The sequence below is a fragment of the Homo sapiens genome, chromosome 15 (assembly GCF_000001405.40).
Source record: "Homo sapiens chromosome 15, GRCh38.p14 Primary Assembly".
In the NCBI taxonomy this organism is placed as follows: domain Eukaryota; kingdom Metazoa; phylum Chordata; class Mammalia; order Primates; family Hominidae; genus Homo; species Homo sapiens.
This window is the reverse complement of record NC_000015.10, coordinates 58,885,699-58,912,539: the sequence shown is the minus strand read 5'-3', so window position 1 is coordinate 58,912,539 and position 26,841 is coordinate 58,885,699. Positions and strand designations below refer to the sequence as shown.

General features: G+C 37.3%; 1 protein-coding gene across 25 annotated transcripts in view; it reads left to right on the top strand.

The window, feature by feature from the left end:
- The window catches only part of SLTM (SAFB like transcription modulator), a 54,630-nt gene that overhangs the window by 21,140 nt on the left and 6,649 nt on the right, over positions 1 to 26,841 (top strand). For 10 of the 25 annotated variants that reach the window (XM_011522031.3, XM_047433051.1, XM_006720686.4 and 7 more), the window contains 14 exons: positions 11,253 to 11,280; positions 12,603 to 13,071; positions 13,688 to 13,737; positions 15,307 to 15,425; positions 17,958 to 18,107; positions 18,347 to 18,450; positions 18,553 to 18,719; positions 19,176 to 19,261; positions 19,480 to 19,643; positions 22,079 to 22,259; positions 22,986 to 23,110; positions 23,985 to 24,155; positions 25,000 to 25,314; positions 25,421 to 25,565. In XM_011522031.3, coding sequence (XP_011520333.1) covers positions 12,698 to 13,071; positions 13,688 to 13,737; positions 15,307 to 15,425; positions 17,958 to 18,107; positions 18,347 to 18,450; positions 18,553 to 18,719; positions 19,176 to 19,261; positions 19,480 to 19,643; positions 22,079 to 22,259; positions 22,986 to 23,110; positions 23,985 to 24,155; positions 25,000 to 25,314; positions 25,421 to 25,565 — 2,151 coding nt within the window. In that variant the 5' untranslated portion in view covers positions 11,253 to 11,280; positions 12,603 to 12,697. Of the gene's footprint in view, positions 1 to 11,252; positions 11,281 to 12,602; positions 13,072 to 13,687; positions 13,738 to 15,306; positions 15,426 to 17,957; positions 18,108 to 18,346; positions 18,451 to 18,552; positions 18,720 to 19,175; positions 19,262 to 19,479; positions 19,644 to 22,078; positions 22,260 to 22,985; positions 23,111 to 23,984; positions 24,156 to 24,919; positions 25,315 to 25,420; positions 25,566 to 26,841 lie in introns of those variants that run through there. The other 15 variants (XM_017022578.2, NM_001013843.3, XM_011522028.2 and 12 more) reach the window with 6 other exon arrangements.

Here is a 26,841-nt window from a genome sequence, read left to right as displayed (position 1 = left end):
AATTCGATATTGTGGGTGGACGGGCTTGGAAAAGGAATCTTATTTTGACTTCATAATTCTTTAATTCATATAACTGTCTTAAATTTAATACTGAGTTATTTACGTGATGTACACAAAGTACTTAAAACTATTGGCAAGGTCGGGCGCGCTAGGTAGCTCACGCCTGTAATCCCAGCACTTTGGGAGGCCGAGGCGGGCGGTTCACGAGGTCAGGAGATCGAGACCATCCTGGCTAAGATGGCGAAACCCCGTCTCTACTGAAAATACAAAAAATTAGCTAGGCGTGGTGGCGGGCACCTGTAATCACAGCTACTCAGGAGGCTGAGGCAGGAGAATGGCATGAACGCAGGAGGTGGAGCTTGCAGTGAGCCGAGATTGCACCACTGCACTCCAGCCTGGGCGACAGAGTGAGACTCTGTCTCAAAAAAAAAAAAAAAAACTATTGGCAGCTGAAATTTTTGTTGCCAGAAAAATAATTGGAGTTACTATGAGTTTCCTGTCATTTTCAGAGTTTTAGAAAAAAGTCCATCCTTTCTGTAAAACCTAACTCTGGTTACTAGTCTTTTGAGAAGTCTACATTCTTCTTGATTTTTTTCTTGTCACTTGATATAAAATAAGTCATTTAAAAGTACTAATATCCTTTTCAAAGCTTTATTTGAAATTTTGTTAATGTAACACTCCTACAACAGGCATAGTCTAAAAATGATTAAAAATTTCTAGAAATTTACTTGGGGTGTGTGTGTATTGAAAATGACTGCACTTCACTGTGTAACAACGTGTTGCTGCTATATGTGATACACATAGTGTACATTTTAAAGTGACTTACAGATGCTGTAAGCAGACATCTATAGATCAGTTTCTACATAAAAATTATCCATTGTCTTTTTCTCATATCTGTGACTAAAGAACCCTTTGTTTTTGTGTCCTTAATTTTTTATTTTTATTTTTAATCTTATAAAAACCAGAGAGGGTTTGGTGGTTTTGATCTGAGTTGGTTTTCATCTGATAAATGCATGCATCCCCCGTGAAGGGAGTCAGCGCCCATTGGTATGTGTTAGCTCTAGAATTAGCACAGTTACCCAAGTAGGACAGGATTATGTCCTCTTTAAATGGTGTACTTTCAAATAGAGATATGGGTTCCTTTGTTTACTAGATTCAGAAAAAATAATGAGGAGGTCAGTTATTTCCTCTGGGTAGTATTTCCTAGAAGAGTACTTGGGCTTGTGTTTGTGGACTACTTAGTTGATTGTCTCAGCATGCTTTCTTTTCTGCAACACTCTTGCCTTTGAAATGCTAGTGAGCCACAAATGCTTCTGAGGCTATATATTGCCTCTCTGTCACAGTGGAGGAGAAGTTGTATTTTGGAGAAAAATTGCATTTCTGGGAGAAATGTTGCTGATCATTTGGAATATTCGGGAAGGAAATATTAGAATGGTGAAAGTCTGTAGGCCTGTCCCTAAGTACATTGATTTCCTAGTGATAAAGAATCTATGAGGGGCCAGGCATGGTGGCTCACACCTGTCATCCCAGCACTTTGGGAGGCCGAGGCAGGCAGATCACAAGGTCAGGAGTTGGAGACAAGCCTGGCCAATATGGTGAAACCTGGTCTCTACTAAAAATACAAAAAATTAGCCAGGCCTAGTGTTGGACACCTGTAGTTCCAGCTGCTCAGGAGGCTGAGGCAGGAGAATGGCTTGAACCTGGGAGGTGGAGGTTGCAGTGAGCCGAGATTGTGCCACTACACTCCAGCCTAGGCAACAGACCGAGACTTGTCTTGAAAAAAAAAAAAAAAAAAAGAATCTATGAGAAAAATTAACTCTCAAATTGAGAGAGTACCTTTTCTAGATTACTGATTTGCAAAAAGGGGAAGTCGAGGTCTTTATATTATTTGGCAGCTAGATATTAGCTTCTGTCAAGGACTACTCCTATAGTTTTGCACTTTGTGAGTTGCATGAAGGCATCATAGCTAAGGATCCCCACTTAAATAATAAACTTCATTACGAACAATTTTTAAACAGATGGAAATATATCTGAAGGAAGAACAGTTATGTATTTCTTATCAGGGAGCAAGATTTTGCCATATTGTATCAAAAGATGAGGTTACATTTTTAGAGAAGTTTTCTTTAAAATGACCTTTTTCCTCTTTCTAAATAATGTCTAGTGGAACATCTAGAAACATAAATGTATCTAGGTTCCATTATGATCTAATGCTTCTAAACATGCTTACTGAGTATATTACTATGTGCATTCAGGGATACTGCATAGTGTAACAATCACCTCGCTTCAGCTGTTTTCAAATAATGGCCAGTCTTATTTTCCCCTATGCCTCTGTTTACTTTCTCCCTTCTGCATTATTTTGAAACAAATCCAAACATATTTCCCTTGAAAATTTTCAATATGTATCTCTAAAAGAGAACTCTTATTTTTTATATTAGCACTCCTAAAATAAAAATTTTAATATTATGAAACATACAGTTAGGATTCAAATGTTCAATTTTCTGTAGATTTTTCTCTATTATATGCTGTTTAAATCCAGATACCAGTAAGATCTGTATGTTGTGATTGATTGAAATGTTTTAGGAGGTTTTCCCTTCCATCTGTTTTCCTCTTACTATTTTATTTGTTGAAAAAAGCAACTTGCTTATCCCATAGAGCAAGGGTTGGCAAAAACAGGCATCTCATGTAGTTTGCCAGTTGCTGCTATAGAGCTTCCAAGGCCTGGATTTTGCTGATTACATTCCTGTGGTGGTGTTCAACATATTCCTTTGTTTATTGTATTTTTTGTAAATTGTTAAGGTGGTTGTAGCATCTAGAGGCTTGCTCTCAGATTCAGCGTTAACACCCCACTCCAGCACACACACAGCCACCTCATAGGTGTAGTACTGTATTCTTCTATTTGGATGCACATAATATCTGGTTGTCTTTTTGTGATGGTACCAGTCATTGATGATTCATACCCAATTAGGGGTTGCAGAGGGATGCTATTCTAATTCTATCATTCTTCTTTATTGGTTGGACTGTTTCTAGAAAGAGAAACTTTCCCTTATTTACTATTTGGTTACCCAGTGGTATCATTTACACAGGAAAGCCAGGATATATGTTTGATTCTTTCCTTTTTATTTACCAATTTTCAGAATATTGAGCTGCTTCACTGGCATCTCTGACAGTGGCCAGTTAGTTCTTAATTTTTCCTTTTTTCCCCTTTAGATTCATTTTGAACTCATGGATTTGAATATATGTAATGTATTTTGGTCCATCGCAGTTATTATCCTTAATGCTTAAATTGTTCCATACAGTGAGAGCCTCATCAAGTTGGCTCTTGAGTCTTCTCAACATGATCCTAGTAGACTTTGATTGATTCCTTGCTTGCTGGTATGTAAAGATGTGCCATTTCCTGCTCTAGACCTATAATTAGGCATTTCTTCTTTATAGTGGTAAATGGTATTTCAAGACAACAATCTAGGTGGTGGAGGTGTTCGCTACTACTGAATTGTTCATTGTTTCTAGGTCTTTTCAATGTACAATGCTAGAGAAAATGTTGGAGTTGTTTTCTTTGTTTTTGCTTATTTTTACTTTTAAGATAAAATAGACCTTCAATTCATACGTTAGTTCCAAGATAACCATTTATCTCACGGTACACATACAACAACTTTAGAATGATAATACCAACACTACCACCAATGTAGTTACTGAAAGTAATTTAAGATTTTTTTAAGACATATTTTTTGCAAGGGTGTTTCCCTCTGGGGATGAACACTGTGTTTTAAGTTCTTTCCGTTCTGTGTGGTTGTATCACCCACTGATACATATCTAGGTTGATTTGTTTCATTTATTTTCAGTATTTAGGTATTGCTTTTGAAAGTTTAGTCTGGGCTGGGTGTGGTGGCTCCTGCCTGTAATCACAGCACTTTGGAAGGTTGAGATGAAAGGATTGCTTAAGGCCAGGAGTTCGAGACCAGCCTGGGCAACATAGTAAGACCCTGTCTCTATAAAAAAAAAATTTTAAATAGCTGGGTATGGTGGTCTGTGCCTGTAGTCCCAGCTACTCAGGAGGCTGAGGCTGGAAGATCACTTGACCCCAGGAGGTCAAGGCTGCAGTGAGCCAAGATCACACCACTGTACTCCAACCTGGGCAATAGAGCAAGACCCTATCTCAAAAAACAGTAGAAAATTTAATCTGGCTGGATGCAGTGGCTCATGCCTGTAATCCCAGTACTTTGGGAGGCTGAGGCGGGCTGATCACTTGAGCTCAAGAGTTCAAGACCAGTCTGGGCAACAAGGCAAACCCCCATCTCTACAAAAAATACAAAAGTTAGCTGGGTGTGGTGGTGCACACCTGTGGTCCTAGCTACTCAGGAGGTAGACCGAGGTGGGAGGATTGCTTGAGTCCAGGAGGTTGAGGCTGCAGTGAGCCGTGATTGTGCCACTGCACTCAATCATGGGCAACAGAGCAAGACTCTGTCTTAAAAAAAAAAAAGAAAGAAAAAGAAATTATGTATATGTACACACACACACACACACACACACACACACACACGCAGCATGTTTATATAGGGATATATCTATTTCAGGAGCCAGTCCTCAGGCTTTGACTAGAAGTTAAAATCTTTAGGCATTAGCCTCTAGGAAGTTATACTAGGTAGACTTTAGTTCAGATTCTACTTCTATTAGTTAATTACAATACTGTGATTGTGGCAGGTTCTCTATTAGTCAATTTCTATGTCTACAAAATGATTATAATTCTTACTCAGTTGATATAGGGATTAATCATAGATTCTGATGTAGTATATGTGCAATTAGTAGTCATTTGTAGTGTTGTTTTACTAGCTTGAATATACTGCTTACTTGAGAAGTTTCTGGAGCTTTTTCTCTAAAATCTTGTTTGCTAATACTTTAATTTTGTTGTTGTTGTTGTTGTTGAGACCTGGTCTTGCTCTGTCGTCCAGGCTGGAGTGTGGCGACGCGATCTCCCCTGACTGCAGCCTTGACCTCCTGGGCTCAAGTGATCACCGCACCTCAGTCTCCTGGTAGCTGGGACTACAGGCGTGCGCCACCACACCCGTCTGACTTTTGTATTTTTTGTAGAGATGGGGGTTCGCCTTGTTGCCCAGTCTGGTCTCAAACTCCTGAGCCCAAGCAGTCCACCCATCTCGGCCTCCCAAAGTATTTGGATTACAGGTGTGAGCCATCATGCCTGGCTTTAATATGCTTTTATTCTTAAAAATTTCCTCTAGTTTCAAGAACCTCTTCAGTCTATAACATCATGTATATTCCTTTTTCTATTTGCCTTTGCACCTAATGTTTCACTAACATGAAAAATCTTACTTTTTGTTATATAAAAATCTGTATACCTCTCACAGCCAGATTCACCTCTTATCTCCTCCACAAAGCTTTCTTTCATCTCTCTCTTTTATGTAGTGCTTTACTATTCACAGAGAGCTTTTTATATCCATTACCTTACTCAATCCTTGATATATCTTATATGGTTCACATGTGAACTCCATTTTATAGGTAAATTCATCTAGATAGATGACATATCACAGAGTAAAACTATTTCAGTGATAACGACAGGGTAAATACCTAGGTGTGATGATGCCTAGTCTGATATTCTTTTCACTAAATAACTCCACACTAGGAAATGTTTTCTGAGTTCTATCGTACTTAACATAGTGCCAAAGTTAAGTGCTTCAGATACATGAAAATCAAGCAGTTAGTTCAGTCTTTCCAGCTAAAAACAGCAGTCTTACACTACATTTATTTAGTAAATTCATTCAACAAGTATTTTTTGAGTACTTATGTGCCAAGCATTTTGTATTTCCCATGATGTTTAGCATATTCCCCGATAGGTAAGTAGTGGTTTAAAAGTTATTTTGAAAGTTTGTTTTAAATGTCAGTCTGAATACAGTGTTTACATTTCAAGCCAGGGGAAAGGAGGTCTTCTTGCTTAGCCTATACATGTACAGATATCATAAGATAACCTATGGGGAGTAGTAGAATTGGATATGTAGTAAATACTTGGTTCACTGAAAAATAAGTCCTAGGCTTGTCTTTGTCTCTTAGTAGTCATTGCTGCTTCTAGGATGAAATGAAAGTAAATAAAGGAGCTTTATGTATTTTAGCATTTGACTAAGGATTGCACATCCCACTGTGAAGATAAACAACATGAGTACTTACCTTGTAGACATTTGCTTCATCTTCATATGTGAAATTTTTTTTTCAAGACAAACTTGAGTGGTTAATTTAAAAAGATGCTTTACATTTGACAAATAAATGTTTTACATTTACTTGCTATATTCCTCATTTGGAAAAAAAATCTGTTTTCAGTGGGAGAAATTGTTTTCAAATAGTTGCATATCATGTCTGTGCATATATACCATTTAGACAGGGAAAGTTTCCCATTGTATTTCTTGGTTTGTTTCCTTATTGCAAGTATTTTGGATTCTTATTTAGGACTTATGGTTAGTGCTATGCTTGCTGCACATACTGCACAGTAAAATCAATAGGCATTTACGTGTGGTTCATCTTTTCTACTTTACCCAAGTTGTTTTTGTGCTCCAACCACATTGTAATCAGTTTTGTTTTCTAGAAGCTGGGTCAGACCATTTCCTACCGGCATATAAATGTATGTCATAAAGTTTGCCTTTAAATTATGAAACCCTTCAGAAGACATGCTGAATTATTAAGATAAATATCTAAAAATTCTCCAGCAAGTAAGACAAACCTTACTAGTTACTTTAGCAACTAGAAATAACATTATAATTGACAGGAACTACAATAGAATACAGTTTTTTTTTTTACATCATAGTATTTTTACTATTTTACTTTTTAAAATAGCCAATAATTTGGACATGTTATGTTTTTTTCTTGAAGCTATCAGTTTTGCATCTCTAAAACAATAACTTGGAAGTGGTGTGCTCTTCGCATCTGAGGTAGATAAGGGGAGTCAAACTGCATTCTTTTTTAAAAAATTATTTATTTTTTTAAAATATATTTTTCTAAAATAGAGATAGGGTTTTACTAGGTTGCCCAGGCTGGTCTCAAACTCGTGGCCTCAAGCAAACCTCCTGCCTCAGCCTCCTAAAGTGCTGAGATTACAGGCATGAGCCACCACGCCTGGCCACATGTTGCATTCTTTAAGTTAATTTAGTCTGCTTTAAATACAAGCTCAGGTGTCTCAGTTTATTTATTCCTTCAACAAAAATTACTAAACTAAAAGAGAATGTGAAAGAAAAAGATTTATCCATAATTCAAGCATAACTCATTCTTTCCTTGCTGTCTCTGTCTACCATTCCACCCAAGTTAAAGCGTTTTTCTTTCCTTTCCAAATATTGCAAATTGGACACATAATGCTTAAAAGTAATATTCTAGTAAAACAATTTATTAAGACATTCTTACAGGCTGGGTGCAATGGCTCCTGCCTGTAATCTCAGCACTTTGGGAAGCCGAGGCAAAAGGATCACTTGAGGCCAGGAGTTCAAGACCAGCCTGGCCAACATGGTGAAACACCATCTCTACTAAAAATACAAAAATTGGCCGGGCATGGTGGCTCACGCCTGTAATCCCAGGACTTTGGGAGGCCGAGGCAGGCGGATCATGAGGTTGGGAGTTAGAGACCATCTTGGCCAACAAGGTGAAACCCCATCTCTACTAAAAATACAAAAATTAGCTGGGCGTAGTGGTACGCACCTGTAATCCCAGCTACTTGGGAGGCTGAGGCAGGAGAATTGCTTGAACCAGGGAGTCGGAGGGTTCAGTTAGCCGAGATCGCACCACTGCACTCCAGCCTGGGAAGCAGAGCGACACTCAGTCTCAGAAAAACGAAACAAAACAGACAAAAAAAAATTGGCCGGGTGTGGTGGTGCATACTGGGAAGGCTGAGGCATGAGAATCCCTGGAACCCGGGAGGCAGAGGTTTGCAGAGAGCTGAGATCGTGCCACTGCACTCCAGCCTGGGCTGACGGAGTGAGACTCTGCCTCAAAAAAAAAAAAAAAAAATTCTTAGAGCACAGTATAATGGTCTTAGATAGTGATCGAATTTACACTGTTATCAATTGATCATTTACTTGTTCTGGACTATTTTACTTCTTAGCTTATGGCCGAGCTTTTTAGTATTTTTAGTTTCCTTCATGTTACTTTAGTTGTAAAATAGTTAGTCATTCCCTAATTGGCACACTTTAACTTAGTCCAAATATCATTTATTAATAAAATGACTTCATAGAAATTATTGTTGGCCGGGCGTGGCAGCTCATGCCTGTAATCCCAGCACTTTGGGAGGCCGAGGCAGGTAGAGCACCTGGGCTCAGGAGTTCGAGACCAGCCTGGGCAACATGGTGAAACCCTGTCTTTGCCAAAAAAAAATATCAAAAAAATTAGCCAGGTGTGGTGGCATACACCTGTGGTTCCAGCTACTCGGGAGGCCGAGGCCGGAGGATCAACTTGAGCCTGGGAGGCAGAGGTTGCAGTGAGCTGAGATCACACCACTGCACTTCAGCCTGGGTAACAGAGTGAGACCCTGTCTCTCACACAGACACAAGTTTGAAAAAGAAAGAGAGAGAGAAAATACTTAAAAAAAGAAATTATTATCCAAATGTACTTTTGAGCACATTGTAAAATATTTGACATTTTAAGAAGTGCATGCTTTTATATGAATCTAAAATTGTATTATAAATAAGCTGTTTACAGTTCTACGTACATTTCCATTTTTTTCGTCTTTTTTCACTAAGGTTGTCACTCTGTAAAGGCAGCAATGCTCAGTGTTTGCGCTGTACCAGCAGCATTAGTTTCACCTGGAACCTTGTTAGAGATGCACATTCTTTTTTTTTTTCCATTTTAATCTTTTTATTATTATTATTATTATACTTTAAGTTTTAGGGTACATGTGCACAACGTGCAGGTTTGTTACATATGTATACATGTGCCATGTTGGTGTGCTGCACCCGTTAACTCATCATTTAGCGTCAGGTATATCTCCTAATGCTATCCCTCCCCCCTCCCCGTCAGATGCACATTCTTAAGCCTCATTCCAGACCTTCTGAATCAAAATCTGTGTTTTGTTTTAACAAGCCCTCCAGGGGATTCTGATGCATGCTCAAGTTTGAGAACCACTGCTCTAAGGCTTTGTATGTGGTAATTTTACAACAAGCTTCACATCACCTGACTTTAAACAGCGTACTTCTGCTTAGTTTTCTAAGCAGAAGTTATTAAAGGCCAGGCACGCTGGCCCATGCCTGTAATCCCAGCACTTTGGGAGGCCGAGGTGGGTGGATCACCTGAGGTCAGGAGTTCAAGACCAGCCTGGCCAACATGGTGAAACCCCGTCTCTACTAAAAATAGAAAAATTAGGCTGTGTACGGTGGCTCAGCTTGTAATCCAAGCACTTTGGGAGGCTGAGGCGGGTGGATCACGAGGTCAGGAGATCGAGACTGTCTTGGCTAACATGGTGAAACCCCATCTCTACTAAAAATACAAAAATTAACTGGGTGTAGTGGCACACGCCTGTAGTCCCAGCTACTTGGGAGGCTGAAGCAGGAGAATCGCTTGAACCCGGGAGGCGGAAGTTGCAGTGAGCCAAGATCGCACCACTGCACTCCAGCCTGGGTGATAGAGGGAGACTCTGTCTCAAAAAATAAAAAATAATAATAATAAAAAATTAGCTGGGTGTGGTGGCAGGTGCCTGTAATCCTAGCTCCTTGGGAGGCTGAGGCAGGAGAATTGCTTGAACACAGGAGGCGGAGGTTGCAGTGAGCTGAGATCATGCCACTGCACTCCAGCCTGGTGGACAGAGCAAAACTCTGTCTCAAAAAAAAAAAACAAGACAAAACATACAAAACAAGTTATTAAAACATTTGGTAGGGCACAGTGGCTCACACCTGTAAATCCTAGAACTTTGGGAGGCTGAGGCAGGAGGAACGCTTGAGTCTGGGAGTTCCAGACCAGCCCGGGCAACATAGCAAGACCTCGTCTCCACTTAGAATTAAAAAAAAAAAATTCGCTGGACATGGTGGCACACATCTGTAGTCCCAGCTACTCAGGAGGCTGTGGCAGGAGGATCACTTGAGCCCAGGGGTTGAGGCTGCAGTGAGCTATGATTATGCTGCTGCACTCTAGCCTGGACGACAGAGTAAGGAACCTGTTTAAAAAAAAAAAAAAACAATCAAAACATTTCTTAAGCCAAGCGTAGTGGTTTGCATCTGTAATCCCAGCTACTTGGGAGGATAAGGTGGGAGAATCAGCTTGAGGCCAGGAGTTCGAGACCGCCTGAGCATCAATAGCAAGACTTGTCTCTAAAAAATAAAATGATTCTTTAATTTTTTCAGTTATTGAGATTATAATGCATATTACTTTATTCTTTATAGTCTTATATTTGGGAAAATGTTGGTTCTATGTTGGTTTGATTACTTCAGTGATGTTTGCATTATTTGCTTGGTAGAACAAATTAAGCTTCTCCCTTCCCTTTATGACTCTTCTGTTTTTAAGCTAGCACATTCTTAATTTTAATTTTAGCCAAACTGTCAAATATGTTAAAATTAAAGTCATATTTTAAAAATGTGAGGGTTAACTTGTTTTAATTACTTGTCACACAAATACCATTTTAAAATTGGCTTTGCCATCGGTATATGTGTGACAACTATGAACTTTTTTTTTTTTTTGAGACAGGGATTTACTCTGTCACCCAGCTGGAGTGCAGTGGTTGATATGAACTCACTTTTAACACATTAAAAGAATGAATAATTTGAAACTGACCTAGTAACTGTTCTTCTAATGTCTGATATACTTAAAGGGGAGTATTGTTTGTTTGTTTGGTTTATTACTGTGTATTCAAGCACTTGAAAGTTACGTCTACAGATTATACTTTCTGGTACTGTTTTGAATAGTATATCTTAGCTAAGAGTACCTGTGAACTGAGTGACGTAAAATACGTCATCAGGTCAGCCTTCTTATTGACAGCTCTTTGATATGAGGAAGAATTGGATTATATAAACTAGTTTTGAATAGTGAAACTAATCCAGTTTGTTATTTATGTACTCATTGATAGATATACCTGTTTTCTAAAATGTACCAAACTTGTGCCACATATCTCTCTACATGGACTCTGGTTCTGATTGGAATAGCCTATTTATTTGTTAGTGTTAGGTATCCCTAAATAATATCATTAAATTATCCACCAATTTTAACTTGGCTGATTTTGTACTATTACTAAAATCTAGTTTTATGTGAATTCATTTTACATTTGATTATTCTTTGAATTTCAGGATGGTGAGGAAGAAGAAAATGAGAAAGGTATGTTTGATGCTAGAGCTTAAAAATTGCTAAAATTTAGAAAAACAGTAAATTATGTAAAAAGCACTCCTTATTTGAAATCTTATTTTTGAAATTAGTTTATTTTCAAATTTATCCATTTAGTGAATTAAGTTAGCATCTTGATTTTATTTTCCAATTGGTTTTAATTTTCTTTTGAACACTAAAGATATATTGCAACTTAATAGTACATATCAGTTACTGTAGTGAACAATGCTATTTTTTATTTAACCCAATTTTAATTTTATTTTTAAAATAACTTCTGGTATACGGTAAGTTGATTAAATTCTTAAGACTGACACTGCAGTAACTCATGTGTGCTTATTGGAGTCCTAGTGCATAACTCACAGTGAATTTTACAACTAGTCCTAAAAATGATGAATGACCAGGAGACTGACTTTGTGTTTGCTGCTTAGAGAAACTTCCATACAGTCGTCTGACAATTTTAGTTTAGACGAGCTGTCTCATTCAATACAATTACAGGGGCAACAGTAGCAATACATGTGGTCAGTAGGAGGTTATGGAAGAGTCCTTGGACAGAAGTCAAAGGATCCTACTTTGGACTAGAAAGGACATGGAGCAGGGTTAAGCAAGGCAAATAAAAAGCCTAGAAGCAGTGATGAAATGAAGCTACTGACTGAAAATCTCACATGCCCGAAGCCTTTCTGTTTTGGGGGAATGCAAGACATCTTTGAAAACGGTAATTGCAGACTGACTGGACAGGATGAAGACTGGAAATAACCAATTTCCTGAACGTCACGGAGCAGGAGCATCTTTGGAGCCTTCTGTACCAGTTTTCCCTACGAATCCGGACTACTCAAGCATTGAAGAGTGGAAAAGATGGGGCTCTGAAATACTCTGAAGACTGATTGATATCCTCAGACTGTTACCTGTCAAGAAGTCACCATGGGAGTTCTGAAGGTCACTAGGGTTCAATCCCAGGATAATTCCAGCATTGAACAACAATCTGCACTTTTGTCACTGTCACATGGAGGAACAAAATCTTCCATATGCCATTAACTTATAACCAGAAATGAAGAGCTGGTATCTTCAGGATGGAACCATTTTCTCACTATTGTTGTTTGGTGTTTGTATGTAGAGATCATTTTTTCCATGAAGAATAAGTGATCCTGGGTAAAGGATGGTTTATGTTAGTTAATACCCTTGTGTTTTTTTTTTTTTTCCCTAACTTCCATCAGTGCTAATAACTGGCTTTATATTTTCTAGGTCCTATTCTAGCTTATGAATATGAAATTGTTTAAACTTCTTGTTTTGCCATATTTATTCCTGTTAAATCCTCTTAGATATAGCAGGTTCTGGTGATGGTACACAAGAAGTATCTAAACCTCTTCCTTCAGAAGGGAGCCTAGCTGAGGCTGATCACACAGCTCATGAAGAGATGGAAGCTCATACGACTGTGAAAGAAGCTGAGGATGACAACATCTCGGTCACAATCCAGGCTGAAGATGCCATCACTCTGGATTTTGATGGTGATGACCTCCTAGAAACAGGTAAAAATGTGAAAATTACAGATTCTGAAGCAAGTAAGCCAAAAGATGGGCAGGACGCCATTGCACAGAGCCCGGAGAAGGAAAGCAAGGATTATGAGATGAATGCGAACCATAAAGATGGTAAGAAGGAAGACTGCGTGAAGGGTGACCCTGTCGAGAAGGAAGCCAGAGAAAGTTCTAAGAAAGCAGAATCTGGAGACAAAGAAAAGGATACTTTGAAGAAAGGGCCCTCGTCTACTGGGGCCTCTGGTCAAGCAAAGAGGTTTGTTTTTCTATGTCAGTTCTTTACGATACTGAATTCCAGCATTCAATAAGATCACTCTACATTAAGGGGGTGGCTTCAAGAACATGTACAGTAATTAGTGTCTTATGATCCTGCCTATAATATTTTTGACCGTCATAAGTTACTTTTAAAAATTTTCAAGATCTTCATAATAATGCAGTGTGTTCTACTGATTGCATTGTCGAATGTCAGCATATATTTGGTTTTTTTGTTGTTTTTTGTTTTTTGTTTTTTTTTTTCAAATTGACAATTTTTTTGTGTTTTATTTTTTAAAATCCTTGTGATGATGGTTAATGAACAACTATCAGTTCTAAGAACACAAAATGAAGTCAAGTCCCAGTCCTGAAATCTGGAGAAGATGGCCATATTTCCACTGAATAGAATTGTCAGAAAATCTAGATCTTCAGGCATCTTGGGGAAAATCAGTGCAAGAATCCTCAGGGAGTCATTTGTTCAAATAACCTAATCTAGGCCTTTGGAATTGTTAATTTGTATGAATAGCACTAGTTTGAAATATAGTAAATATCAAGCTGTTCTGTTTTGGGTTTGTTTTTGTTTTTGTTTTCAATTTTCTTCTGGTGATTTGCCTCTTTAGCTCTTCAAAGGAATCTAAAGACAGCAAGACATCATCTAAAGATGACAAAGGTAAAGAATTTTTTTCCCTATTTATTTCAGTGTTGACATTGTGTATTTTCATTAAAAAGTAGTAGTTGCGCGGTGTTTTCTTTGACATTTAGTCCTTAAAAATTTTATTGACAGACTAGAAACTTGAGATGGTCTTTATATAAACTGTGGAATTATATATATTACAGAAAACTGATTGATGTGTTACTGTTTACTTTGTAAACTGGTAATGGGGTACGTTAAAAACCCATTAGCTAGGGAACACTTACCTGGTGTGTTCTAAGGGACTGTGTTGAATATTAATAGATACTTTCTTACATTATAATTTCAGAACTATTTTATCTTTTGTTACTCATTTATAACTACTGTGTATCACCACAACCTTTTTCCTGTTCTGTCTTTAAATAATACTTGTGTGTATTTGTGGAGTCTAGTGTTCTTTTTTCTTTTTTTTAAATTCTTGTAAGTTTCAAAGTGCAATATTTAGTTGCTTTCTGATACTGAGAAATCTCTGGTTATCTCATGCCCATGAGCTGTAGTTTCATCTTGTACATGTGCTGTGTTTACTTGAAAAATACTTAATTTCTAGAAAAGGATTTTAAGGGAAAATAAAACATTCAGGTACTGCAAAGCTTTTAAATACCTCCTAAATGTGTAAAGGAGAATTGTATGCATCCTCCATAGTTTATTTTAAATCGTTAGAAATCATAAGGATGTGATTTATGAATTGGTTGGTCTTGCTTAAAAGAATGTGAAATATAGAAATTGTTCCTTTTAATTGCTTGTATACTGTTTCTCTTAAAGTGAGTAAAAATTATTTTCCAAATAAAGTCAAGTGAATGAAAATTTCCCTTTTATTACAGCACATTTGAAGAAAAGGGTGACTGGCTAGGCCTGTATCCTAAGATATGGCCTCTATACATATGAAGCCATAATTTATGTGTGACATAGTACAGAAATGATTCATATAATCATTTACCTATTATAAAGGATTTTGAGACCTCTGATCTTAATCTTGTAGTTGTTTTGTTTTAGAAGATTGTTTCTTATCGAATCTAGAGTTATCCAGCTGCATATAATTCCCATTTTGTCTTACTTATTCTCTAATATGGAATGAAGGTGTACCAGTTGGTTCGTCTTTGTTATTAATCATATAAATTCTTGAAAAATGTATACCTTGCTCTGACTTTTTTCTTCTTCCATTTCAATTTCTAAGGATCTAAAGCCCACAGCAGATGTGGCAACTAAACAGTCTGTTCATTCCTAAATGACTGCTTCCTAGTTGTCTCTATTCAGTGCAGTGGTAGACTATAAATTATTAAAACTGAACAGCAAAAGTCTGAGACATGTAATTGATTTTTTTACCCTCTTCAACTTAGAACTCATACAATAGGAAATGTACATACGTTCAGATTTTTTCCCCTCACTAGTCATGTTGTCTGTTTGATTTCAATAATAGTAAACTCACAGGATTTTGATATAGTAACGTCATACTATCAAAATTATAGTTTTGAAAGAATGTGGCCCTTATAGTTTTGTATAAAGATTCTGATTGAGATACTTAAACATCTGATATTAAATCTATTCTAGGAAGTACAAGTAGTACTAGTGGTAGCAGTGGAAGCTCAACTAAAAATATCTGGGTTAGTGGACTTTCATCTAATACCAAAGCTGCTGATTTGAAGAACCTCTTTGGCAAATATGGAAAGGTACATTCTTTTTACCTTTTTATCTGTCTTTCTGGTGTCTGCATTTGAAATGAGGATTGTATTCTAAATAGTATTACATGAATATCTTCTAATTTATTGTATCTCTTAGGACTGTTAATAGACATAATTATTGAGTTCTGTGGTAATGGTAGATGAGAGTTAGGGGATAAATAGCATTTCATCATTTAATCTCTCTCTGAGCCTTGGGAATCTTTGTATTCCAAACTTTAAACCTATTTAAGCCAAGGACTAATAAGTTTATTCATCATGATACTTTGTAGCACGTAGCTTGGGATCTAGCATATTGCTGAGCCTGATTTGGACATCTTGAAAATACATTTATATTTAGACTATTATTAGTCAGTGGGATACATAATTCACGGGGGCCTGGGGAGAACCAGATATGATCCTTGTTACAGATTTCTAGTCCAGTAATGGAGAAAAATATAAAACTGGCTATATATATAGGCATGAGAATGGTTTAAACTTATATAAAGTTATATATAAACATATATCTACATTAAGTTTATATATAAACTTTTTTTTTTCTTTTTGAGACACAGTCTCACTGTGTCACCCAGGCTGGGGTGTAGCAGCGTGATGTGGGCTCACTGCGACCTCTGCCTCCCAAGTTTAAACGATTCTCATGCCTCAAGCCTACCTAGTAACTGGGATTACAGGCATGAGCAACTGCACTGGGCTAATTTTTGTATTTTTAGTAGAGATGAGTTTTTCACTATGTTGGCCAGGCTGATCTCAAACTCCTGGCTTCAGGTGATCCACCAGTCTCAGCCTCCCAAAGTGCTGGGGTTACAGGTGTGAGCCATCGCACCACGCCTAAATATATAAACCTAATCAGAAGTTGTTATAAGTCTTGTGAAGGAAAAGTACACAGGTGTTAAAAAGGGGAGGCTTTCCTGTGGTTAGTTCATCAGGAAAAGTTTCTCTGGCAGTTAAGGGGAGACCTAAAGGAAGAGAAGGAGTAGTCAAAGAATACTCAATTAATAACAAATGCTTTGAATTGTGAGCCGCATCCCTGACGGCTCTCAATACTGTCTACTTACATTATAGTTTTTCATATACATCAAATAGTTAATGTACTCCAGTGTAAGCTTTTTGAGGTCAGGGACCTTATTTAGTGTACTTCATGTGCACATGATAGGCTTTCAGATATTGAAATTACTGAATTAGTGACCATTATTGGTAAATAGCCATTAATATTACCAAAACCTGTCCTCTTGATTTTTGGAGGGTTTTTTTCCTGCTTCAATTAGTGAGTTGCCTGAGTGTAAAGGAGGTTCTTGTAGGTGTCAGAAATAGAACACTGAGAATTGTAGTCCCATGATAGGCTGTGTTATATTTTTTCTTCTGTTTTCAATAATGTATTGTTAGAGATGTGAAAACAATATTTTAATGTTGGTATTTATTAGTAGTAAAACTATATGAGGATACCATTTATTTGGTAAGAAGACCCGTGGAGTTAAAAAATAAATGGCTATGGAGCAAATCAGCCTTTCCTAGGGTTGAGGTAAAAGTTGATTTGTTCCAGCCACCCATACCATAAAACTCCTGATTTTCCTGTTTACTTCTTCCCAGCTTTATGTCTTTACTCTTCTTTGTTCAGCACCGAATCGTTCTCTCTCTTTTCTTCTCACTCATCCATCCCTGCTTTGTCTCTCTTAACTAACCATCTTACACAATTGCAATTATTTGTCATGTTCATATACGTTTTAAAAGCACATAGATTGAAAGTGTTGTCTTTCAAGCTTTAGGGTGTTTTTCGGGGGATGCATTTTTAAGTCCGCTTTTTTATATGTGATTGGTTCTTTACTCATTATAGAAAAGTGTTAACACTCATCAATAAAATACTAGAAACTTTCTCTAAAGACATTCAGGGTGGGCCTATGATAGGGATATTTTGGTTCAAATCCAATTTATTTGCTTTTATTAATTGTGCCATTACTTCATTGATGAGATTGTGTTTTGGCTACATATTTGAGGGGAGGAAATAAATATAAAAAGGTTAAATTGCTTTTTGGCACTTTAAATTGTTCCCCTGAATATTTACTAAGATGGGTAACGTAGATGGTGATCACAAGAATATGAAATAGGCTGGCTGCAGTGGCTCATGCTTGTAATCCCAGCACTGTGGGAGGCCGAGGTAGGCCGATCACCTGAGGTCAGGCCTTTGAGACCAGCCTGGCCAACATGGCAAAACCCTATCTGTACTAAAAATACAAAACTTAGCAGGGCATGGTGGTGCATGCCTGTAATCCCAGCTACTTGAGAGGCTGAAGGAGGGGAATTGCTTGAACCCAGAAGGCAGAGGTTGCAGTGAGCTGAGATCACACCACTGCACTCCAGCCTGCGTGACAGAGTGTGACTCCATCTCAAAAAAAAAAAAAAAAACATGAGACAGAATAAGATACACCCTGAATTAATATATAGTTTCAGTTGTGAAGTTTCATGTATTTAGAAGTCTGTGTACTTGGAACGTTGTAAAACTCTCTAAAGTACAGTCTGATTTTATAGGTTCTGAGTGCAAAAGTAGTTACAAATGCTCGAAGTCCTGGGGCAAAATGCTATGGCATTGTAACTATGTCTTCAAGCACAGAGGTGTCCAGGTGTATTGCACATCTTCATCGCACTGAGCTGCATGGACAGCTGATTTCTGTTGAAAAAGTAAGCTTCCCTAACTGTTTATCAAAGCAAGTCTAATTTGATGGCTAGTTCTCAACTCATAGCTGTTAACAGTAGCAGGGAGTAGAATTTGCAGTGATTTTTAATTTTTATGTATTTGTAGTTTTTACTCTCCTTATATTTTTCCTATCGTTTCCAAATTTTCTGCCATTAGCACACTTCTTATAATCACAAAAATGTAACCATATGTACAAATTGTTTTTCTGGTTCGAACCTTTCAGGTAAAAGGTGATCCCTCTAAGAAAGAAATGAAGAAAGAAAATGATGAAAAGAGTAGTTCAAGAAGTTCTGGAGATAAAAAAAATACGAGTGATAGAAGTAGCAAGTAAGGATTTATTTTTATTTATTTATTTTGATAAGCAGATAGACTTTTTTGGTACATTATGAAGTACTCATTCTGTTTTTTTGTCTGGGGCGGTATGGTCAGGACACAAGCCTCTGTCAAAAAAGAAGAGAAAAGATCGTCTGAGAAATCTGAAAAAAAAGAAAGCAAGGATACTAAGAAAATAGAAGGTAAAGATGAGAAGAATGATAATGGAGCAAGTGGCCAAACATCAGAATCGATTAAAAAAAGTGAAGAAAAGAAGCGAATAAGTATGCTATACATCTTTTCAATCCCTTTCTAATGCATTCTACTACTTAATTTTTACAGTGGAAGGGAAAACCTGAAATTCTAATCCAGATATAAGCTTTGTTGTTAGGTGTCATTGTGGTAGGAAAGGAGGTCTAGTAGGAGTAATTGTCTTCTTTTCTACTCTGGGGAAACAAACAAATGTATTCTTCCAGCTAAGCTCCTTTGCTATTCTGGGCTGACTTAAAATGGTCATTGATTAGTACTATTGAATTAGGATCTTTTGGTATCACTGAAAGTATTTATGTTAGCAGACTGAACTGTTTAAAAAACTCTTTGCATTGAAGTTCTTGTAGAATAAGTAGTTTTTTTATTTCATGTATTGGTGTGTGACTATCAGAATTTAGCATTTTTACATACATATTTTCTTTCTCAATGAAAAATTTTAGACATTGTTTTATATAATTTTTTTCCCTTAGGTTCCAAGAGTCCAGGACATATGGTAATACTAGACCAAACTAAAGGAGATCATTGTAGACCATCAAGAAGAGGAAGATATGAGAAAGTAAGTCTCTGATCAGGATGGTTGTATACTACTTCAGCTGTTTACAAAAGAAGATAATTCTGTTTTTCCATAACCATCTTTGCGTACTTGCATGCTAGCAAACCCAAGAAAAAGGAAATGTTACTAGTCATTTGAACTTTTTAAATGACCTACTAAACTTGAAAAATAAAGCCCCAAAATATTTTAATTTCTAGTGTTCTTCTAATTTTTTTCTACAGATTCATGGAAGAAGTAAGGAAAAGGAGAGAGCTAGTCTAGATAAAAAAAGAGATAAAGACTACAGAAGGAAAGAGATCTTGCCTTTTGAAAAGATGAAGGAACAAAGGTTGAGAGAACATTTAGTTCGTTTTGAAAGGCTGCGACGAGCAATGGAACTTCGAAGGTAGGAAGAGAGTCTGTTTTATACCTGTCTTTAAATATAGGTAAATATTTAACACTAGTTGTAAGCCATATTTCTGGAAATTGTATTCCCACAGAAAACTGTTTGCCACCTTAAAGAAGTTACGGTAGCATCTAATGATTTCTTAAGTTTGCATAGCACTTTACAATTTACAAAGTGCTTTTCCATCTGTTGTCTCCAACTCAACAGTTCTGTAAGGCTAGTTATGCCCATTATACAATTGAAAAAAATGGAGGCCCAGAGAGGCTAAATGACTCTTCCAATGGCCACATGGCTAACAAGTGGCAGAGTCGGGACTCAGACCCAAGTCTTCTGACTCCAAGTCCAATGCTCTTTCCTCAACACCAAAGCTGCTGCCATAAAAAACATGACTTCAAAGGAAAAATTTGAGATAAGATAGTTTCAAAGTAGCTACAGTGTTCAAATACTGTAATCTGAAATTTTAACAAATTTAGCAAAAATTTATTGTTTGCATTAGTGCCTAAGAGAAGGAAGATTTGCCCTGTGAGCCTAATGGTATTCGGATTATATCCCAAAGCAAGCATTCTCTTTAAAACAAACGGAAAATATAAACAAAGCAAGATGTTTCCATTTTTAGTGGCCATATCTCAACAGTTCACGAGTGTCAGTTTACTTTTGTATATCAATTTTTGGATGCCACTTAAAATAGTCTTGTGGGTGTGTTTTATAGTATATTATTTCAAATGTTAAGCTGTCTTGTCCAGGGGTTACTTATCATGGGATTTCATCCATTCATTGACGACAGCGTTAGGAACTACCAGAGATACTTTTAGCAACTTAGATTATTCTGTACAATAATTGACACACAACTTTACTAAAAGGAAGTAATCCTTGTAGCACATAGAACCCATTTTCTCTTTTTTAAGATGAAGTCCAAATGTGCCTAGCTTCCTGTGTATTTAGTTGACAACAGATTGAGAGGAGAGTGGGATTGAGGAGCAACTAGACCAGTGATTCTCAAACCCTATGTGACCAAATTCCCTTTTATATTAAAAAAAGTTGCAATGCCTTTACTCTCCTGAAATGAAATTGATGTATAACATACTTAAGCTATACTAACAATTTCAAAAAAAGAAAAAAATGTAATGGCTTAACTATAATATAAAGGAGAAATAAAAGTAATTTATAATAAAAATATGTATTCCAGATATGAAGGTTTAGGCATGACTTAATGAAGTAGTCAGATGTTTGCATCCCTATTTAGACTCACTGAGAATGGGACAGCTTCAAATACAGACTGACGTTGTATGTCATTTAATATGTTGTATTGGTTAGTAAATACCAGAAGTAGTGTTGACATTATGACATGATTTCTGAAATGGTGAGCAACTCTTGGTAAAAGTCGCAAGAAAGTATAATTTTCCTTCTATTTATATGGAGTTGCATTATTGGAAATTCTAGATTATAGAAATAATATCAAAGCAAACAGTATTTATTAAAAATGGGGTTGAGTTCTAGACTGACATATTATTTTTGCTTAAGGTGTTTGGTTGTTTTTAATGGTGTGCATGTCCGTTGTGGCATCTGAAAGGTATGAGAGGTGTTGGATGGTTCTTGTTGTGTACGACTATCCTCACTATTCCATGCATCAATAAGATACTTAGATACCTTCATCCTCATACACTAAACACTAGTATCTGCCCCATGGTCATTGTGATAATTAAAAATATCCCATTGATTTCTGTAGAAATAGTACTGACCCATTGAGAACCACTGGGTTACTAGAGAAAGACATGCTGATGACAGAAAAGGATGCTGACTACCTTACAGTAAGAAAATAACATTAAAAGTCTAATACAATAACAATTCAGTTCAGTGAACAATTGAACTACCTCTGACTCAGAAAAGCATGTTACCTGGAGCCATCTATTATAGGATAGTAAACATTCCAAAATAGCCCTTAAGGACACCATTTTGTTATATGTAGTATTTGCTATTATTGATGTTCATTGTTATGATCCCAAATCATCAAAGTATGTACTTGTTTAAGGAGATACAATAGAATATATAATAGGGATTAGAGCTTTTTCCATCAAAAACAAGTGTTGGAAGTTGTAGTTTTGTAAATTTACATATGCAGATTACATCCTTCTAAAATGTCAATTAATTAATGGACTATTATAGTAATTTTTATTTAAACAGGAATCATCTAAGAGGCAACTACTCTATATTATAAAATTTAGCTGCTCAGTTGACAGTCTTATTTATAGATAAGTGAAAATATTGGGATCTGTTTAAAGTTTTACTTTGAATTCTCTTTCCAATTACATTAAAACTACTTAGATTGAGTTGAAATTTAAAATTGCCAACCTCAAGGAAAAATTCAAATTCAAAGCTATTCTCTTTCACACAGTGCTAGCATAATTTAAGTATTTCTAAATACTGATTTTTGGTAGACGAAGAGAGATTGCAGAGAGAGAGCGTCGAGAGCGAGAACGCATTAGAATAATTCGTGAACGGGAAGAACGGGAACGCTTACAGAGAGAGAGAGAGCGCCTAGAAATTGAAAGGCAAAAACTAGAGAGAGAGAGAATGGAACGCGAACGCTTGGAAAGGGAACGCATTCGTATTGAACAGGTGCAGTCAGAAAATCTTTTCATCTTAAATAACTCACCTTTTTCAGACTCTGTGATTTTAGCCCTAAAACTTGCTTTACTTGTTGTAAAGCGTCTATAGAATGAGTTTAGCTAAGGAGCTTTTAAGTGTCCCTGAAAGATAACAGTGAATTAGGTACTAGTTAAAAATAGAATTAGTAGTGACTTTGTTCTAGATAACTGGTAATAATTCTAGCTCTGCAATATCATGGCAGCCTAATAGTCTGAGCATAGGACTATGAGTCCAGAGTAGTTGTAATCCAGGCTCTGTCACTATCCCAGTCTTAGAAAATAATAACGATTTCCTTACATATTATAGTGGGAATGATTTCCCAAGGCTGGAAGGAAATAATGCCTCTCTTTGCAGAATTGCACCTCAGGGTTTTAAGGCACTTAGTCTCCATGCATATTAAGAATGCTATTTCTAATTCCCTTTAGGTGCTTTTGTTTTAGTCGAATGATTAAACTAAACTTGACCTTCCCAAATACTTGCCAACTTTTACCACCCAGTCCTTGTTATTTTTAATGTTGCAGAACAATAGCTACAGCCTAGATTATTGAAATCAAATTTAGGTGTCATAGGTTTGTGTTTTGCCTGGTCTTTGCTTATGATGGTTTCTTAGCAACAGGATTAAAACAAGGTTGCATGTATACTTATCTTATGTTTTCATTTTGCCTTGGTTGGTTCTTCATTCTGTGTTGTCTGAAGGAACGTCGTAAGGAAGCTGAACGGATTGCTCGAGAAAGAGAGGAACTCAGAAGGCAACAACAGCAGCTTCGTTATGAACAAGAAAAAAGGAATTCCTTGAAACGCCCACGTGATGTAGATCATAGGTAGTTACTCATTTTATTCCTTAACAGTTAACCTTGCTGTTTTATTCCCTTTAGGCTAAGACTAGAGAATTAGAAAGTACAGGCTCCCATCACTGGAATAAAAGTCATGATCAACAGGGATGGGAAGGATTACAGTACTGGGGTAGACCCAGTGCACTAGCAAGTGGGAACAGTCTGTGTTTCTTTCCCTGTCTACCTTTCTGATGCCAAATGTTTTTCATTATGACTGGAAATACATTGTCATAGTAGGCTTCAATAATAATTAAACAGATTTTGAACATTCTTAAAAAGGTAGTGCAGGTAGTATAGAAATGGAAGTCATAAACTTGAGATTGAAAGATAGATTCTATTGTGTGTTTGGATTCATACTTCATATAGATTTAAAAACATAAGTATGCCCATTTAATCTTCTTAACATAAATTCTATGAAACTGAGTTGATTGTGTAGAGAAATAGGTGGAATGAATGAACTGTGCTTCTGACTTACCACTCTAACGTTTCCAAAGTTAAGGATAACTGAAGAGGTTGTGTGAACTGGTTAGAATTTTATTATAAAGTGGTTTCAGGTATTTTATTTGTCTTTTCCATTTAATGGTATCATTTCTCCTGAATGCTAAATGTCTTTTCCATTTAATGGAAAAGACAGGCAGTTTTTCAACTATTTTCTCTCCTGTTAAATTCCTCTCACACTATTTGACTTTATGTAATTCAACAATTAAGTCTTTGCTAGTTTGTACTCCTGATGTGTTATGTCTTGAGTTTACTAGCCCTGTTATGTCCACAGTTCTAACATGTGGTATGTATGACTCCAAGTAAATGTCGTTTGATTACTGTAGAACTAATTTATGTAAATAAGCAAATATTTCTCTTCAAGGCGAGATGATCCTTACTGGAGCGAGAATAAAAAGTTGTCTCTAGATACAGATGCACGATTTGGCCATGGATCCGACTACTCTCGCCAACAGAACAGATTTAATGACTTTGATCACCGAGAGAGGGGCAGGTTTCCTGAGAGTTCAGCAGTACAGTCTTCATCTTTTGAAAGGTAGATATGTTGAAAATTGTTATATTTATTTTATGAGCCTTGCTAGTGATAACTCTGTTTCTCCTAAAATCTTAACTGGAAGTACCAGGTCAGAACTGAATGCTCAGAACAATTTACGTGGTTTTTGTTTCTGTTAATGGGAATGTGATTCAGTATTCCAAATTAATTAACTAGAACACCATTAAGCAGGTTGGCTTTATCTTCTTATCTTTATTCTATTTTAATTTTTTTTGAGACAGGGTCTCATTCTGATTCCCAGGCTAGAACGCAGTGGTGCAATCTTGGCATACTGTACCTCTGCCTCGTGGGTTCAAACGATTCTTGTGCCTCAGCCACCCAAGTAGCTGAGATTATAGACATGCACCACCACCATGCCCGGCTAATTTTTGTATTTGTAGTAGAGACGGGGTTTTGCCATGTTGGCCAGGCTGGTCTAGCACTTCTGACCTGAAGTGATCCACCCACCTCAGCCTTCCAAAGTGCTGAGATTACAGGCCTGAGCCACCACTCCCCGCCTCTTCTTATCTTTAAAACTGTGGAAGCACTGATTGCTTTGGATATGCCTCAACTGTTAAGAACAGTAAAACATTCTTCAGCTTGGTAGTGACTTTTGAGTGTTCGGTATCATTTCTCCTGAATGCTAAAAAACCAACCTTTAGGCTAGACACTTAGTTCAGTTTAAAAGAAAATGAGTTGTAATAATCAATAACTAGCTTTTTTCCATGGCTTTGCCTTAAGTTCATTTTTTGGTTTCATTATTGTAGGTTATGCAGACAAAGTTAAGAAGAATTAAGCACTCAAGTAAGCACTTCTTGGACCTATATTCTTTGTTTCTAATCAATAGGCGGGATCGCTTTGTTGGTCAAAGTGAGGGGAAAAAAGCACGACCTACTGCACGAAGGGAAGATCCAAGCTTCGAAAGATATCCCAAAAATTTCAGTGACTCCAGAAGAAATGAGCCTCCACCACCAAGAAATGAACTTAGAGAATCAGACAGGCGAGAAGTACGAGGGGAGCGAGACGAAAGGAGAACGGTGATTATTCATGACAGGCCTGATATCACTCATCCTAGACATCCTCGAGAGGCAGGGCCCAATCCTTCCAGACCCACCAGCTGGAAAAGTGAAGGAAGCATGTCCACTGACAAACGGGAAACAAGGTAGCTGTGTACTATGTAATGCTTTCCTAGTGGTCTCATGCATTGGGGTTAAAAAAAGTTAAGATTACAGTTTTGATCATGTATGTTTTTATGTTTTGTTTAACAGAGTTGAAAGGCCAGAACGATCTGGGAGAGAAGTATCAGGGCACAGTGTGAGAGGCGCTCCCCCTGGGAATCGTAGCAGCGCTTCGGGGTACGGGAGCAGAGAGGGAGACAGAGGAGTCATCACAGACCGAGGAGGTGGATCACAGGTAAGTGCTGCGGGAGGCTTGCCGCGAGCCTGCACACATACATTTAGAGGATTCATGAGCTACTCTGGATATACAGTAGCATTTTGATGTGGCTTAGATTAGCTAGATTGGAATGATTCAGAGGCATTAATTTTTTATTTAAATTTTTAAAATCTGAATTTTTCTCATACTTTACTGTCAGTAGTTGACCATCAGTAGTCCAAAGAGTTAAGGTACTAGCCTTGAAATACTCCATTTCGATTAAACTTCCCAGTGAAATTTAAGAATTGTTAATTTGGTAAGTGAGCCTATCTAATGATAACTTTGGTTTTATTTCTTTTTAAGAAATTGAGGCTTTCAAACTGCATCTGAAATCTTTGGCCCCTACTTGTGTTTCCTTTTCAATAAAATATTCTTGGCCGGGCATGGTGGCTCATGCCAACACTTTGGGAGGTAATCCCAACACTGTGGGAGGCCGAGGTGGGCAGATCGCCTGAGCTCAGGAATTTCAGACTAGCCTGGGCAACATGGTGAAACCCCATCTCTACTAAAAATACAAAAATTAGCCGGGCGTGGTGGTGGGCGCCTGTAATCCCAGCTACTCTGGAGGCTGAAGCAGGAGAATCACTTGAGCCCAAGAGTTGGAGGTTGCAGTGAGCCAAGATGGTGCCACTGCACTCCAGCCTGGGCTACAGAGCCAGACCCTGTCTGGAAAAAAAAAAAAAAAATACACACACACACACACACACACACACACACACACACACACACACACACTCTTCTTTTTCTCCTGCTTCATTTAAGTAGCTTAAAGTGTAAAATTGAAATAGAACTTTTGTCTATTTTTTGTCTTCTTATCCTAAAGGTAGATGAGTGTAATGTTACATATTTTTAAATTTTTACTCTTGTGACACTTTATTGACTTGAATATTTTGTAAGTTAATGAGCTGGACAGAGGAAAGTGTCTTTATCTTTTAGAGACCGAAATGAACAAAAACCTTTTGCCTCATTTAAAAGTATTCTTCTACTGATGAAATACTGGCGTGTGGGTTGATAGTAGCACAGTTAGGACATACTTTCATAAATTATATACCAAAAAGAATTGTGCAGTGTGTGTGTCTCCATTATATGCTGGTGTTTGTTTTGTATTTTAATACAGTGTGTGTGTGTGTGTTGTTGTTTTTTTTGTTTTGTTTTGTTTGTTTGTTTTTTGAGATGGAGTCTTACTCTGTCAAACAGGCTGACATGCCGTGGTGCGATCTCGGCTCACGGCAACCTCCGCCTCCCAGGTTCAAGC